The 16,441-nt window shown below is 48.2% G+C and overlaps 1 annotated feature.

Moving 5' to 3' along the window:
- Positions 10,730-11,493: an enhancer, noted in NCBI's record as "NANOG-H3K27ac-H3K4me1 hESC enhancer chr14:90905675-90906438 (GRCh37/hg19 assembly coordinates)". NCBI's record gives its function as "activates a minimal SCP1, AML or CMV promoter by ChIP-STARR-seq in naive H9 embryonic stem cells {active_cell/tissue: H9 hESC(naive)}" and the evidence as "EXISTENCE:reporter gene assay evidence [ECO:0000049][PMID:30033119]".

The following is a 16,441-nucleotide window of genomic DNA, read 5'->3' as shown; positions in this document are numbered from 1 at the left end:
AGGTGACATCTAAATGCAAGCTGGTATCCTGGATTAGATCCCAGAACAGAAAAAGGACATTGGTGGAAAAACTGGAGACATCTGGATAAAGTCTGGAGTGGAGTTAATAGCAGTGTACCAATGTTAATTTCTTAGTTTTGATGAATGCACTAGGTAATGTCAGATGCTAACATTAGGTGACACTGGGCAAACAGTATATGGGAACTCTTGCTGCAACTCTTTTGTAGATCTAAAATTCTCTCAAAATAAAATGTTTAAAAATAAAAGAGGTTAAGTGACTTGCCTGAGGTCATGCAGCTAGTGGGTACCACAGTGAGGATTTGGTCCCAGGTCGTCTGGCTGCAGAGCCCAAGCTGTGACCACCACACTCTGCCAACTCAGGACACCACTCTGTCACCTGCCCCTCCCTAGGAGGCTTTCACCCAGGGCTGCAGGTGCCCATGGGCATTGTGTCAGAGGGTGGACAGGCCTATGCCCAGCGCCATGGCAGGAGGTGCCAGGGCAGAGTTCCCCACAACGCAGTATTGGAGGGAGAAGCACACATACCTGGGTCTGTGCTCAGTCCCAGCCCTGCCCCATCCTAGCTCCAGGACCTTGGATGAGCAAATTCTTCTTTCAGATGTCTTCAATTATCCAAATCCTGACTGTCTTCCGACGCCCGATCCAACTCCCATTCTCTCCCTCTTGCCATTCCTTCTCCTTGGGCATCTTCTTTGCATGTGGAAAAAGTGGGGTTCCAGACTGGATATTTCCAGTCCACCCTACCCCCCACAACCAGCCAGCTGTGTTCCTTGATGTCCTTGGCATTGTTCACTGTCAAAAATAAGAGCTGGCCAGGCACAGTGGCTCACACCTGTAATTCCAAAACTTTGGGAGGCCGAGGTGGGTGGATCATCTGAGGTCAGGAGTTCGAGACCAGCCTGACCAACATGGTGAAATTCCATCTCTACTAAAAATACAAAAATTAGCCAGGCATAGTGGTGTACACCTGTAGTCCCAGCTACTTGGGAGGCTGAGGCAGGAGAATCGCTTGAACCTAGGAGGCAGAGGCTGCAGTGAGCCGAGATCGTGCCATTGCACTCCAGTCTGGGCAACAGAGTGAGACTCTGTCTCGAAAAAAAAGAAAAAAATAAGAGCTTCCCCTGAGAGATGCCAGACAAGGCCCCTGTTCTGCAGGGTCTTCCTCCCAGCTGTGAGGCTCTGATAACTCCCACACTTCCCTTTGTTCCCTGATGTAAGGGTGGCTGCTGCTTCCTGCAGGTTCCACCTCTGTGTTATCCTGGTGTCTCCTTCTCATCTTTTCAGTTCTCCAAAACAGAGGGAATGGCATCGGGGAGAAAAGGGGACTTGGACTGGGCAAGTGTTTAATTGTTATATTGAATACTGTAAGTTTCTTATATTAAATTATATTGGAAAAACAAAACCAACAAGTACTGTGTGACCCATAGTTTGACCTGAAGAATGGGGCCACTTATTCCCAAGAAACCCCATTAACAACAGTGCCTGTGCCACCTCTCTGGCATAGCTTTGGGAGGTAGACCAGCCTGTACTTGAATCCAAACTCTACCACTTATTCGCTACGTGACCTTGGCTTTGTTTCTTAACCTCTCTGAGCCTTAGGGCTTTTTTTTTTTTATCTGTAAAATGGAAATAATCATACCCGCTTCTTAAGGCTGTTGCAAGAATTTGACGAGATAATATATACGTGGCACTTCTCACAGAGCCCAAAATGAGAGTTCAATAAGTGGCAGCTTTTGTTACTATTATAGTGATCAGCGTTGGAGAGATTCTTACACGACAAAGGAGTTCATTTCATCTTTGTGTGTGGCTAGCAGCCTCACGTGGAGAAAAATTCCACTTTGTGTCTATATTAGTTAGAACTGCTGCATTAAAAATCACTTTAAACCTCCGTTGCTTAGGCCAGGACCAGTGGCTTACACCTGTAATCCCAGCACTTTGGGAGGCCTAGGTGGGCGGATCACTTGAGGTCAGGAGTTCAAGAGCAGCCTGGCCAACATGGTGAAACCCCATCTCTACTAAAAATACAAAAATTAGCCAAGTGTGGTGGCACACGTCTGTAATCCCAGCTACTCAGGAGGCTGAGGCACGAGAATCGCTTCAACCCGGGAGGTGGAGGTTACAGTCAGCTGAGATCATGTCACTGCACTCCAGCCTTGGCGACAGAGTGAAACCCTGTCTCAAAAAAGAAAACAAACAAACAACAACAAACAAACAAAAAAACTCCGTTGCTTAAACCAGCAGTCATGTATTTTTTGTTTTTTATGTGTCTATGCATTGGCTGGGGGTCGGCTGACTTACGCTGGGTTGGTTTGGTGGTTCTTCAGGGGTTTATGGACTCATGCATATGTCTGCAGCTAGCCAGCTTGAGGTGGTTCTACTGCTTTTGTCCTGCTCCATAGATCACGACACTAGCCTGAGCATATTCTTCTTACGGTGATGTCAGAGGTGCAAGGGGACAAGCTCCATCATGCAAGTGCTGTGTCATGTTTGTTAACATCCCATTGGCCAAAGCAGGTCACATGACTGAGGCTAAATCAAAGCGTGAGGAACTGCCTCCTGCCCACCATAGGGGGGCACTGCAAAGTTACATGGCAAAGGACATAGTTATAGGGAAAGGTGAAGAATTGCGTCCATTAATGTCATCAAACTACCACACTCCATGCCCATGACCCCAACTATCCAGGTCCTTCCAGTATGCAAAATTCATTTTCTCCCATCACAAGACTCCAAAACAACCCCTAAGCAACCAATGGCATCGAGCCAAAATCCACTTTCTCATGGTCTCATCAGGTTCAGATGCAGCTCCTCGTAATCCAGAGATCTGTTGGTAAGTTATCCACCTTACCTGCAGTAAACATTGCCACTCAAACAGGGGAAGAAACAGAGGCCCATAGCCGTCACTGGTCCATAGCAATTCTGAAATCCTGCTAGGAAAATGTTTCCAGTTGCCTTTGTCCTGGCGGTAGGTAATATTCCCTGATTAGCTCCCAGATTTCCATCCAGAGAGAGGTTCATCTCCATTTTCTGCATGGCTCCTGCTCCAGCCTCTGCGATGTTCTTCCTTTTCTATCACCCTCCTTAGTCACTTCTGAAGGCATTGTAAAACACATCCTTTAGGCAATCTTTTCAGACTGCTTCCTACCCAGAGGTCTTTTTGCATTTTAAACAGCCTTGGTATTTTTTCATGCAGGCTGGGAGTCCTTTTGCCAACATAACACTCTAAAAATTTGATGGGTTCCCTATATCTTGAATTCCGTTCTACCCCATGTGCTAAAACTCATATCAACAGAACACATTCAAACTTCTCTATATTCCTTTTTTCTGAGACAGAGCCTCACTCTGTTGCCCAGGCTGGAGTGCAGTGGTGCAATCTCAGCTCACTGCCACCTCTGCCTCCTGGGTTCGAGCGATTCTCGTGCCTCAGCCTCCCGAGTAGCTGGGATTACAGGCAAGCGCCGCCATGCCCAGCTAATTTTTGTATTTTTAGTAGAGATGAGGTTTTGCCATGTTGGTTAGACTTGATCTCCTGACCTCAGGTGATCTGCCCACCTCTGCCTCTCAAAGTTCTGGAATTACAGGTGTGAGCCACCACACTGGGCCTTTTCTATATTCTTTCTAATACTGCTTTCAAACTAGGCAGTTATTTTCTGAAGTCATCTCTTTTTTTTTGCAGTACCTTATCAAACACAACCATAAAAGCCAAAGGATGCTTTCAGTATTCTGCCTAGAAATCTCTTTGCCCAAGACCAAGAGTTCATTAGATACACTTATTTCCCAATAAGTTACTAAAGACAACAATTTTAGCTAATAATTCCCTATTACACAATGGGGTTGCCTCTTCTTCCACCTCCAATTGCAGTTTCTTTGCTATTTTTCCTGCCTCCCCTAATAGTTTACTCATTCCTACCACCCAGTCCTAAAAAACCAGTGCTGCATATTTTAAGTTTTGTTATGGCAGCACCACACTTCTGGGTACCAATTTATGTACCTGTTAGCAGTTGTTCCATAATGAACTATCCCAAATCTCTGTGGCTCAAAATAGCAATCATTCCTCATTCCTCACATGTCTGTCAGTCAGCTGGGTGTTGGCTGATTCAGGCTGAGCTTGACTGGTTCTCCTCATCTCTAATGAGCTTTGATCTAGGTGATCAGCTGCCTTAGGCTGGGTCAGTTGGGGATGCCCCTGTTCCATGCGTCTCCCGCCTCCTGCTGGGACCAGTGGGCTATCCTGGCTATGTCCACCTGAAGGCAATGATAGTGGCACAAGAGAGGAAACTCAGTCCTGCAAGCCCTTTGCAAGTCTCTGCTTGAGCCATATCTGCTATCACCCCGTTGACCAAAACACGTGGCTAAGGTTAAATCTCAAAATCAAGAGGTAGGGAAGTACCTCCCACCTACAATAAGGAGGGCACTGCAAAGTTACATGGCAAAGGGTGTGCACAGAGGGAGGGCTGAAGAGTGGGAGCCATTCATGAAACCTGCCACTGTGGCCTGAGGCAAACACTCTCGTACTTCTATTTCTCTGCACCTGCTCTTTCTCTTCCTGGAATATTCCTTATAATGGTACAACCAGGTTGTATCTTCATTTTTCAGATGAAGAATCTGAAGCTGGAAGAGGTGAGGTTGCTTCGTCAAGATCACAACAGCTAATGAGTGGCAGAATCTACATTTGAATCTAGACCTGTTTGGACACATGTTTGGTGCCCACTAGAGCATATGAAATGTTGGGTACAAAAAAAATAGAATAAATAAGACCTAGTATTTGACCACACAACAAGGTAATTATAGTCAAAATAATTTAATTATACATTTAAAAATACCTAGAAGAGGCCGGGCATGGTGGCTCACGCCTGTAATCCCAGCACTTTGGGAGACCGAGACAGGTGTATCCCTTGAGGTCAGGAGTTCGAGACCAGCCTGGCAACATGGTACAACCTCATCTCTACTAAAAAAACAAAAATTATCCAGGCATAGTGGTGCATGCCTGTAATCCCAGCTACTCAGGAGGCTGAGGCACGAGAATCACATGAACCCGGGAGGCAGAGGTTGTGGTGGCTGAGATCGCACCACTGCACTCCAGCCTGGGTGACACAGTGAGACTCTGTCTTAAAAAAAAACAAAAACAAAAACTAGAAGAGTATAATTGGATGTTTGTAACACAAAGGATAATAAATACTTGAGGGAATGGATAGTCTATTTTCCATGCTGTGATTGTTACGCCCTGCATGCCTGTATCAAAACATCTCATGTATCCATAAATATATATACCTACTATGTACCCACAAAAATTAAAAATTAAAAAATAAATCAAGTATACAAAATGAAAGGCAAATCACTTCTGTGATGGTCGTATCCATAGGGTTCTTGAATTGTAGAACCTAATTTTGGCTCACAAGCAGAGGAAAAAAGTGCCATTTATTAGGAACAAACTGGATAGGTTATAGAAGTTAAAGAAAAGCTGAAGAAACAAAGGCAGTTTCAGAAAACTTTGTCAGAAGTGCGGATTTGGAGGGCACCACTGGGAGGGGGACTTCAGGCTTCTTTGTCATTCAGCCTAAGTGACAGGCACCCAGAGAGTCTGATTGGTCCAGCCTGAGCACTGTGCCCGCCCACTGATCTCATGGGATGGAAGAGGGGTGGTTTCTTAAAAAGAAATGGTGACCAACATGGTGGCTCATCCCTGTAATCCCAGCACCTTGGGAGGCTGAGGTGGGAGAATCATCTGAGCCCAAGTGTTCGAGACCAGCCCGGGCAACATAGGGAGACCACATCTCTACAAAAAATAGAAAATAATGATAAGCCCATTGTGGTGACTTACACCTGTGGGTCTCTGCTACCCAGGAGACTGAGGTGAGAGGATTGTTTGAGCCCAGGAGGTCAAGGCTGCCATGGACTGTGTTTGACCTATTGTACTCCAGCCTAGGTGACAGAGAGAGACCCTGGCTCAAAACAAAACAAACAAACAAAAAACCAAGGAAGGAAGGAAGGAAGGAAGGAAGGAAGGAAGAAAGAAAGAAAGAAAGAAAGAAAGAAAGAAAGAAAGAAAGAAAGAAAGAAAGAAAGAGAAAGAAAGAAAGAAAGGAAAGCAAGCAAGCAGTCCTGAGTGAGTGAAATTACCACAGAAAGGAGAAAGGAGGAGGGAACCTCGCTCTGGGAAAGCTCATTTCCTTCATTTCCTTTACAGTGCAGTTGTTGGGGTCATGGACTTGAGAACCAGGCTGTCTGGGTTTGCAATCCTGGCTTCGCCGCTTACTAGTTGTGCTTAACTAATACAGGCAGGGCACTTAGCCTTGCTATGCCTTAGAGTCCTCACTGGTAAAATGCTATTGTGCAATACCCCATCAGCCTCAGTGAGTTATTGTGAAATGTAAATGAACTCACCTGTGTCATGAGCACTGTCATGCATGTGTAATGAGCATTCCATTTGTGTCACTGTGTCAGGGGAACTGGGAGAGTGAGTGGAGCACTTAGGAAACATCCACTCCCAGGAGACACAACACAGGCTGCCAAGGTGGGGCCTGCTAGCCGAGGCACCTGAGGCCATGACCAGGCGTGTCCCCCTGCCCTGGAGAGGCACAGAGAGCTGCCAAGCCGGTCCTACTCCTGGGCACTCTGTTTCTGGATGGAGGAGTTCTGAGAACTCAGGGGATGCAGCTGCTGTTGAGTCACCATCACAGAAGGTTCCCTTGCAAAATGGGACAAGCTCACTTTCCTGTTTCTGAGTCTCCTGTTTCTGGCATTGCAGATGGGGCCTCCTGGGTGCTGGAACCAGTGTCGCAGAGGGTATGGCTTCCTGCACTGGTACCAGATGAGAAGGCATGTAGGCAGGCGGAATGAGCACTAGACTTGGTTCCAGAGATTCTGCCTGAACTGTCGCTCCACCCTCCCATGAGCTACGTGGACTTGGGCAGGCTCCTCCCAAGCTGACAGTGTCATCTCTCCAGGGAACGGGGAAGCCCAAGGGCTCCAAGCACTACCATAACTTCAATCCTGACACTCAGAGCTTAACCCCAGAGCTGGCGCCACCTTTTTCTCTCTCTCACCCCAGGGCCTTGTTTGTTTCCAGCATGACCGGGCGGCTCTTCCGTGCCACCCTCTATGACTTGTCTTTGCTTTTCTGCTTAAGCAGTCTCCAGGGTTAAATCAGGCCAATGAAAGCATTGGGTTACTTGACTCTGTGTGGGTGGACCCCACCTTATGCAGACCTGGTATTGCTCAATGGCGAGAGGATGGCAGAGGCCTGTCTTCAGTCCTCTCACTGGTGTTTCTGATGGTGTGTGCTGGCCAGGCAGTGGGCTGGGCAGTGGGTGGTGTGTCCTGGAGAGGTAGGGTGAGCTCCCCCAGCATTAGAGGTAGGAGGCAGCGTATGCTTGGTTCAGAGAGGCACAAAACGCAGGGGAGATTCCTGGGACCCTTTGCTTACATCCGCACTCCACAGGCCACCTGGCTGTTCTCTCATAATCTCATGATCTCAAGGAAGGAAATCGGGTTAGCCTGACAGGCTCATCTTTTACAAAGCAGCTTGTTTTTTTGTAAGGTTTGTTTCATTGCCCTATGTGACCCTAGACTGCAAGAAAGCCAATAGACAAGACCATCAGCCACTCGGATGGTGGAATGGGAAAGGACCGTGGATATTGCTCAGTCCCATCCCCTCATTTTTTAACCTTTTTAAAAAAATTAAGCCAGGTGGCCAGAGTTTCACATCCTGGCTCTGCCACGGCGCAGCTTCAAGCATCGTTGTGCCTCTATTTTCCCACCTGGCAAAAGGGAACAGCACTGTTCTCTTTCAAGATAAAATAATGATGCCAATAAAATGTGCTGGGTGGTTGTAAGCCTCAAATGACCTAAGACATGAGCATATTTACAGCAGCGCCACACATGTCTCCAGGGCTCCCCAACATCCAGTCCAGTGCCTGCTGCTCCATCTGAGGCTGGGGGGTCCCTGGAGAAAGCTCTGTGCCCTCCTGGAAGAGGCTATGTCAGGAGCACCCTAGAGGACCTGCCCTATCCCAGGGGCTGGGCCAAGCCATTATTCTGCCCACCCTGCCCCCTCCCTAAACACTTGGACCCCCGTGTTGTGATTTCTAGGCTGCCATTCCCACACCCCAGGCTCTACCAGTCTAATTTGTTCAGATATTCATTTCCTCTCCCTTCCTATCTCCCCTCTTCAGACAAGAATCTCTCCCTCCCCACAAATCTCATCCCAGCTGCTAATTTCTTCTGAAAACCTGACCCTCTCTGCATGCTAGGATGTAAATGACTTGCCAGGGGCTCCACTTAAGAGGATATGAGGAAACCACTTTATGCCCCTGTTGGAAGCTGTTTGATTAATAGCGCTTTTCAAGGTGTTGTTCAAGACTGGGGAGGTCTCTGGCATGAAGTTGAGGGTCCAGGCAAAGGCAGAGGTAACATGAAAGAACAATTGTCCAAGCAGAAGCTGGAAAAGTTGGCCCTGCGGGCATCCAGCTGCCATAAAATGCCATGATTTTATGTTAGTTTTGTGTCAGCTTCATGAGCAAGAGTGAGGAGAAAATTCAAAGCTTGGAGAAGAAATTCAGAAAATCAATGTTTCCATCAGCTTCATTTGCTAACTGTTGATCTGAGAGACGAGGATGCCTGACATGTTCTTAGGGGTTGATTCTGACACTTTGTCCTAACTTGTATATTAAGAAGTGAGACAGGAAAAATTAAAAATGACTGTCCTTCATTTGCACAGGACAAATAAAGGGACATGTTGTTTTTGGCTGTCCAGCATCCATCCCCTTTCTAATTCACTCCCATTTCCTTTTGGGGAATTACCTCCCTGCCATGTTTTTTGTCTCGGTGGGGAGATGATTCCAGGTATGGCACCCTACCATGAAGCACAGGGGATAGAGGCTCCCCATCTGGGGCCTGTGATCTCGGCTCAGCCACAGGGACCATCTCTCCTGTTCTCAGGCTATCTAGTCCACCATATTGCTGGAAATGGAAGTCACCACCAACAGCTGGTCACTCTGGGTAGTGGAGTGGGCAGAAGGCATGGCTCATGTCCAGCTTTGCCACGACTAGTTATGTGACCTTTGATGTGTCGTTTATCTTCTCTGGGACCTCATTTTTTTCATCTGTGTAACAGCCAAATGTCACAACCGTGACTTTGAGTAAAAGAAGCTGAACACAAATAACACATATTATATGAGTCCATTTATATACAGTTCAGGAATAGGCAACACTAAACTTTATTATTTAAGGATGCATACATAGCAAAATCATTTTTAAAAAAGGAAATGGGCCAGGCACAGTGACTCACACCTGTAATCCCAGCACTTTGGGAGGCCAAGGCGGGTGGATCACTTGAGGTCAAGAGTTGGAGACCAGCCTGGCCAATATGGTAAAACCCCGTCTGTACTAAAAATACAAAAATTATCTGGGCGTAGTGTGGCATGCCTATAATCCCAGCTACTCAGAAGGCTGAGGCAGGAGAATCACTCAAACCTGGGAGGCGAAGGTTGCAATGAGCCGAGATTACGCCACTGCACTCCAGCCTGGGTGACAAAGTGAGACTCTGTCTCAAAACAAAAAATAAAATAAAATAAATTTGAAAAAATGAAAAGGAAATGATTTTCCTGAAAGTAAAGCAGTGAGTACCCAGGAGACAGAGGGAGTGTGAGTGAGGAGGGCCACCTGGGGAGGCTGGTATCATCTATCATTCAAGCTTGACCTGGGTTGTTGGTTACACAGGTGTTTTCCTTATGATTATTACAATTACAGTTATTCATACACTTTCCATTTGTGTATGTCCTCTTCTGTATGTCTGCCATGATAATGATGATGAAAAAGAAAAAAATGGATGATGGATTTAAAGAGTCTTGTAAACTGAAGTGCTGTCCACATATTAGGGCTCAGGAAGAACCTCCTCTTCTCACCTGTCCTTTTTCTCTAGGTTCAGAATCCAGAATGTCCACACTAAAAGGAACCATTGTAGTCCAGCCTCCCATGTCCCATTTTACAGCGGGGCAAACTGAGGCCTAAGAAGGCAAAGACATCTCCTCTTCCCTCTCTCCCCCTACCCTCCCAAGGGTTCCAGCCCCAAGATGTATGCCCTCCTGGACCCCAATGCTCCCTTCTTGCCTTGAGCACCTGCAGTGTGTGTGTGAATCCAGCCACCTTGGAATTAAGAGCCCACAGGGCATTTCCTCTCCTTGGGAACCAGTTCCAACGCCTTCCATCTCAGGCTGAAAAAAAAAACATTTGCAATTTCCTCCCACCCACGACTCCTTTCAGATGCGCTCAGCCTCAGGCGTGGACGAGGGCTTTATTATTTTTTAAAGAACGCACACACACCCTCCCGAGCTCCCATCAGCCCTCTGAGCATCCTTCTGCAAACCTCTCCAAAGGCATAAAAACCAGGCTGGGGAAAAGGGCTGGGCCTGCTGCAGGTGAATCTAAGATCTGGCTCAGACATTACAAGCGTGCAAGAGGCTCCCTTGTCTCCTCGTTCCCTCAGCAGATGCAGCCTGATTTCCCTTTGAATAAATTGCCTCCAGCTTGGTGAACCAGGAACTTTACGAGCAGTCCTGCTCCCGAGCCCAGTAATTTGCCAGAAATTAGCAGTGACTAAGATGCACCAGCCTCTCTTTGTTCTGGGCAGTGGGGATCAGCTTGTCCTGAGTTTTCATTTTCAGCACTGGTCAGAGAGCTGTGGACACTCAGCCACCCAGAGGCCCCAGGCCTGGGGTTAGGGGTGGGGGTGCTGCTCTTCTCTGACATTCGCCTTTGTCCCTGTGGCCTGGCTCAGGCTGAGGAGGGAGGTGCCACTAACTTTCCATAACATTTGTTCTTCTTTGTTTCTTTCCCATTTCCTTCTCACTTGTCTTCCAGAATAAGAAAGAAACAAAGAGGCAGACAGAAGGCCATTTTCACTGCTTCGTTAAAAACTGAAAGTTTTGTGATAGACTGGTGAGATCCTCCAAGTCCCTGGCCTCTAAGAGCCAGAGGGGAAAGGCCACTGAGTCTGTTGAGCCGTAACCTGTCCACTCACGGGCCCAGCCCAGGCAGCCCACAGAAACACGGCCACCACCCCAGTGAAATGGGCTCCATTTATGAAGGTCCATGTCTGGGCCCAGGTCTGCAATTTAGAGGTTGAGTACTTTTGTGCATTTCACCACTCCAAGCTTCGGTTTATGCATCTGTAGAATGGGTATGATGTGGTAGAATTAGATATGGTCCACTGGATAAGATGAAGAGGCAGGACTGGCTACATAATTTGCAGGGCCCAAAGCAAAATGAAAATGTGTAGCCCCTCATTCAAAAATTATTAAAACATTTCAAGATGGTGAAAACAAAGCATTAAACCAAGCGCAGGTCCCTTCTGATATGACTGCCTAGATTGTACACTCATGACACCAACCCATTCATTCATTCATTCATTCATTCAGCAAATAGTGGGGACCTACTTTGTGCCAGGTACAAGTCACAAGACCTAACAAATGCCAAGTGCTCACAGGCCAGGTTAACAGTAGGTACTCAGGAAAGGAAAAGATACCTTTTTTTTTTTTTGAGAAAGGGTCTCACTTTGTTGCCCAGGCTGGAGTGCAGTGGTATGACCACAACTCACTGCAGCCTCAAACTCCTGGGCTCAGTAGCTGGGACCACTCACGCACGCCACCACGCCCAGTAAATTTTTTAAATTTTTGTAGAGGCAAATTTTTAAAATTTTTAAATGTAAATTCTTGCCATGTTGCCCAGGCTGGTCTCAGACTCCTGAGCTCAAGTGACCCGCCCGCCTCAACCTCCCAAAGTGCTGGAATTACAGGCATGAATCACCGTGCCTAGTGAAAAGATGCTTTTTACTTCCTGTAAACCTCAAGCTATAATATAGCATGCATTGTAATCCCATTTCACATATGCAAAAACAGACAGCAAGAAACTTATCAAAGGTCCACAGCTAGTAAGCAAGAAAAGCAACAGCTGAACCCAGTTCTGATGAGAAGGCCCACAGCCTTTCCAGCTTCATAGGCAACTCCAGCAAGCAGACATGAGTAGGGAGGAGAGTCCCAAATCTCAGCTGAAATTCAGAGGGCAAGATCTCCCTTAAAGGAGTGGGGATGGGCTGGGGGTACTTTCTCACTTGGGTACCCACCAAGTCTCCAGCCCTAGCCCTAGCCCCTAATGCTAGAGAACCTCCTTGAATCATTGGTTCCTCCTAGGCTGGCTAAAAGCCAAGGGCCCAGAGACCCTTTGAGTGACTGCTTAGAAGCCAGGGAGTCACCAGGGTGAGAAGGGACATCAACAGGGCCACACAGAGGGTATTGGGTACCAATCCAAATGTCCCAACCATTCTCAAAGGGACAAAGAGAGGACATTGCAAGCCAGACGTGACTGCAAAACTGACATAAATTTTGTAAATGCACCATCTGCCATTGAGAATATAAATATGGTCATTCCATCAATAAAGCAAGTAAATTTCTTTCCAACTCAAAAATGTAGCAGAGGCCAGGTACGGTGGCTCATGCCTGTAATCCCAGCACTTTGGAAGGCTGAGGGAGGTGGATCTCTTGAGATCAGGAGTTGGAAACCAGCCTGGCCAACATGGTTGAAACCCTGTCTCTACCAAAAAGTACGAAAATTAGCTGGGTGTGGTGGCACATGCCTGTAATCCCAGCTGTAATCACACACTTGTAATCCTCCCGTGACTCGGGAGGCTGAGGCACAAGAATTGCTTGAACCTGGGAGGTGGAGGGTGCAGTGAGCCAAGATCACACCACTGCACTCCAGCCTGGGCTACAGAGCAAGATTGTTTAAAAAAAAAAAAAAAAAAGTAGCAGAAATTGCACTGGGAGACGGGAGGTTCTGATAAGAAAGATCACCTACTGTGAGCTTGGCACATAAAAGGAGCTGAGTATGTGCTAGTTCAACCTGAAAATAAGTTCTTCACTAAAGTGGACCGAGACCAGCCTTTAGGCTCCAGAGCAAAGATCAGTTGGGCTGTGTTTGCCTCAAAATCAGGTGCCTCTTCTTCCCAGACAAGGCAGCCACGTAGAGGAGTGTAGGCTATGTACTGCGCAACAAGAATGATAGACCTGGAGTTAGGCAGCCTGCGAGAGAGGCCGGATGAGGTGGAGCTGCTTCCTTAAACCACAGGTGGATCCCCAGAATGGATAGCAATGGACTAGTGCCTCCCACCCCACTCCGTTACCCACTGAGCCCACCAGCCTCAGCTCCCTACATAAAAATCCCTGCCTGATCTTTCAGAGCTGACAGTGAAGAGAGAGGCCCCTACAGCTCCAACTGTTGAGGGTCTCCCAGACCCTCTTTAGGGCGTCCACACTCATTGCCACACTACCACCATGTGTCTTTGGGGGCCCAGGGTGCTGCCCCCTCTTTACCATTCTTTCTAATTTCCCTTCACTCCCCTTTGCCCACCCAGCAGCAGACCAAAACCTTTAATCAAGACTGGATTAGGATCGGCCAGGCATGGTGGCTCACACCTATAATACCAGCACTTTGGGAGGCCAAGGCGGGTGGATCACCTGAGGTCAGGAGTTCAAGACCAGCCTGGCCAACATGGTGAAACCCCGTCTTTACTAAAAAAAAATACAAAAATTAGCCGGGCGTGGTGGCAGGTGCCTTAATCCCAGCTACTTGGGAGGCAGAGGCAGGAGAATCATTTGAACCTGGGAGGCAGAGGTTGCAGTGAGCTGAGATTGAGCCATTGCGCTCAAGCCTGGGGGACAAGAGAGAGACTTCTCTAAAAAAAAAAAAAAAAAAAAAAAAAAAAAAAAAAAAAAAAAAAAAAAGACTGGATTAGGATCCCTGCGATGCCAAAGGGGAAATAAACAGTCGCCTGCAGCCAGGCCATCTGGCTTGCTGGCTCCAGCTCTCTCCAAGCCCACAGGCCCTGCCCCAGCCCCATGGGATTCGGGGCAGTGTGAGGGCTTCACCCACCAGCTGCTCCACCGCCCCTCCTGCCTTGAGGACCCTACACCCTTCTGGGAGTAGGCCACTGCTACTTTTCTTCATGTTAACCCAAAGAAATAGAGGAGGTGGCTATGTGGGAAACAGAATTCTTTTTTTTTTTTTTTTTTTTTTGAGACAGAGTCTTGTTCTTGTTGCCCAGGCTGGAGTGCAATGGCTCGATCTTGGCTCACAGCAACATCTGCCTCCTGGGTTCAAGCAATTCTCCTGCCTCAGCCTTCTGAGTAGCTGGGATTAAAGGCACCCACCACCATGCCTGGCTCATTTTTGTATTTTTAGTAGAGATGGGGTTTCACCATGTTGGCTGGGCTGGTCTCAAACTCCTGACCTCAGGTAATCTGCCTGCCTCAGCCTCCCAAAGTGTTGGGATTATAGGCGTGAGCCACCGCGCCCGGCCCAGACTTTTTTTCTTTTGAGACGGAGTCTCGCTCTGTCGCCCAGGCTGGAGTGCAGTGGTGCAGTCTCGGCTCACTGCAACCTCCACCCGCCAGGTTCACACGATTCTCCTGCCTCAGCCTCCCGAGTAGCTGGGATTACAGGCACGCACCACCACGCCCAGCTAACTTTTGTATTTTTAGTAGAGACAGAGTTTCTCCATGTTGGCCAGGATGGTATCAAACTCCTGACCTCAGGTGACCCGCCCACCTTGGCATCCCAAAGTGCCAGGATTACAGGTGTGAACCACCCGGCCGAGGAAACAGAATTCTAAGCATCCTCCTCCTCTTTGTCTCTCTCCACCAATGTTCATTTATTTTCCTGAAGTTTCCATCTCAAGAGGTCTCAGGGAAGAAGCACTGGAGTTGGGGTCAAAAGATCTGGATTTGAGTCTTGACTGCTGTGAACTGGCCGTGTGACCTCTGTCGAGTCACTTCGCTTGCCATTCTGTCCCTCAGTTTCCCAACCTATAAAATGAGGACAGTATTGGCCTCCCTCACAGCACAACTAGGAAGATCCCTGTGAATGCTACAGGGAAACAGTGTTGTGTCTTAGTGTTAGGGCGATCCCCTGCCCTGCCCAGTGTGGATATTTTGGCTCCCTCTGGAATTGAATGGACCCCAGGGCAGGAATTGACACTCAAGGCCCGCAGTGGCTGCCAGGGCACTGTTAGTGCTTCCCATAGAGAAACCAGCTTCTAACAGCCCCCTTCCGTTCCTAGGGCAAGAGTAGGGGAGAATAATGGGAAAGGGGGGCTCACTCTGAAGTTTGCACAAGAAAGCGTTTTCCAGTGTGATTTTGGTCTCTCGGTCTGAGTGGTACAATTAGCAATGGGGTGGCAACTGTGAATTCAGAGCAGCCAGGCTCTGCTCCTATTAGCAACAAAGGAGGAAGAAGCAGGCCAGCGCGGTGGCTCACGCCTGTCAATCCCAGCACTTTGGGAGGCCGAGGCGGGCAAATCACTTGAGGTTAGGAGTTCCAGACCAGCCTGGCCAGCATGGCGAAACTTCGTCTCTACTAAAAATACTACAATTAGCCAGGCATGGTGGTGGGCGCTGGTGGTCCCAGCTACTCAGGAGGCTGAAGCAGAAGAATCGCTTGAACCTGGGAGATGAAGGTTGCAGTGAACCCAGATCACGCCAGTGCACTCCAGCCTGGGTGACAGAGCAAGGCTCTGTCAAAAAAAAAAAAAAAAAAAAAAAAGGAGGGAGAGGCAGAGAGAGAGGAAGAAATGGTAACGCAGAGAGACAGACAGACAGAGCCCGTAGGGAAAGACTGGATCATCCAGGGAGACACAGCAAGAGTCTGGGACAGTGATGAAGAAGGAGACAAAGACAGGACAGAAGAGTCGCAGGGGCTGTGCTGAGAATATGAATATTAAAAAGAAAAACCAAATCACGATTTCTTTGCTGCAGGCCTACTGCCTTCCACCTCAGTGTCTCAAGTGAGATCACCGGGAAGGTGCGTGTTGAGTAATTTGCATGGGTAAAGCTGCAAATTCATATCAATAGAACTTGAGGTTCAAGGTTGTCCCCTAATAGGCCCCCCTTGCTCCCTGCCTTCCCTAATGTTTCTGGAACAGGACCGGGAATGCTGGGGTGCAGCAAGTGGGGACCCCCAGCCCCAGCCTGGGCATGCCACTCCCTGTCCTGCAGAAGCCTGGCTGAGAGCAGTAAGTCTTCATGGAAGGTGGGAGGGGACCGCCCTGCTGCCCCTTCCTCTGAGCTCCCCAACCCACTCACTATCTGGGCTCTTTGCAGTCGTTAGCCAGGTGAAATGCAGTGTTCCTTCTTCCTTGGTCTGACCTCCCCATCCAGCCCACGGGCTCCCCATGAGTTCCCCTCATTTCCTGGCAGCAGGGCACTGTGAGTGATGCACAGGCTCAGAGCCACATGTCCAGGTCTGGATCAGGTCTGATTCTTCCTCCCCGTGGGCCCTGGCAGCTTACCCTCTCTGTGCCTCAATATCCTCGCCTGTCAATGAAGATGATAGTAGCAGTGGTATTATTACTGCTAGGTTGTTATGACTGAAT

The sequence above is a fragment of the Homo sapiens genome, chromosome 14, assembly GCF_000001405.40.
Source record: "Homo sapiens chromosome 14, GRCh38.p14 Primary Assembly".
NCBI classification, from domain to species: domain Eukaryota; kingdom Metazoa; phylum Chordata; class Mammalia; order Primates; family Hominidae; genus Homo; species Homo sapiens.
The sequence above is the reverse complement of the archived record's forward strand: the minus strand, read 5'-3'. Positions and strand labels throughout refer to the sequence as shown.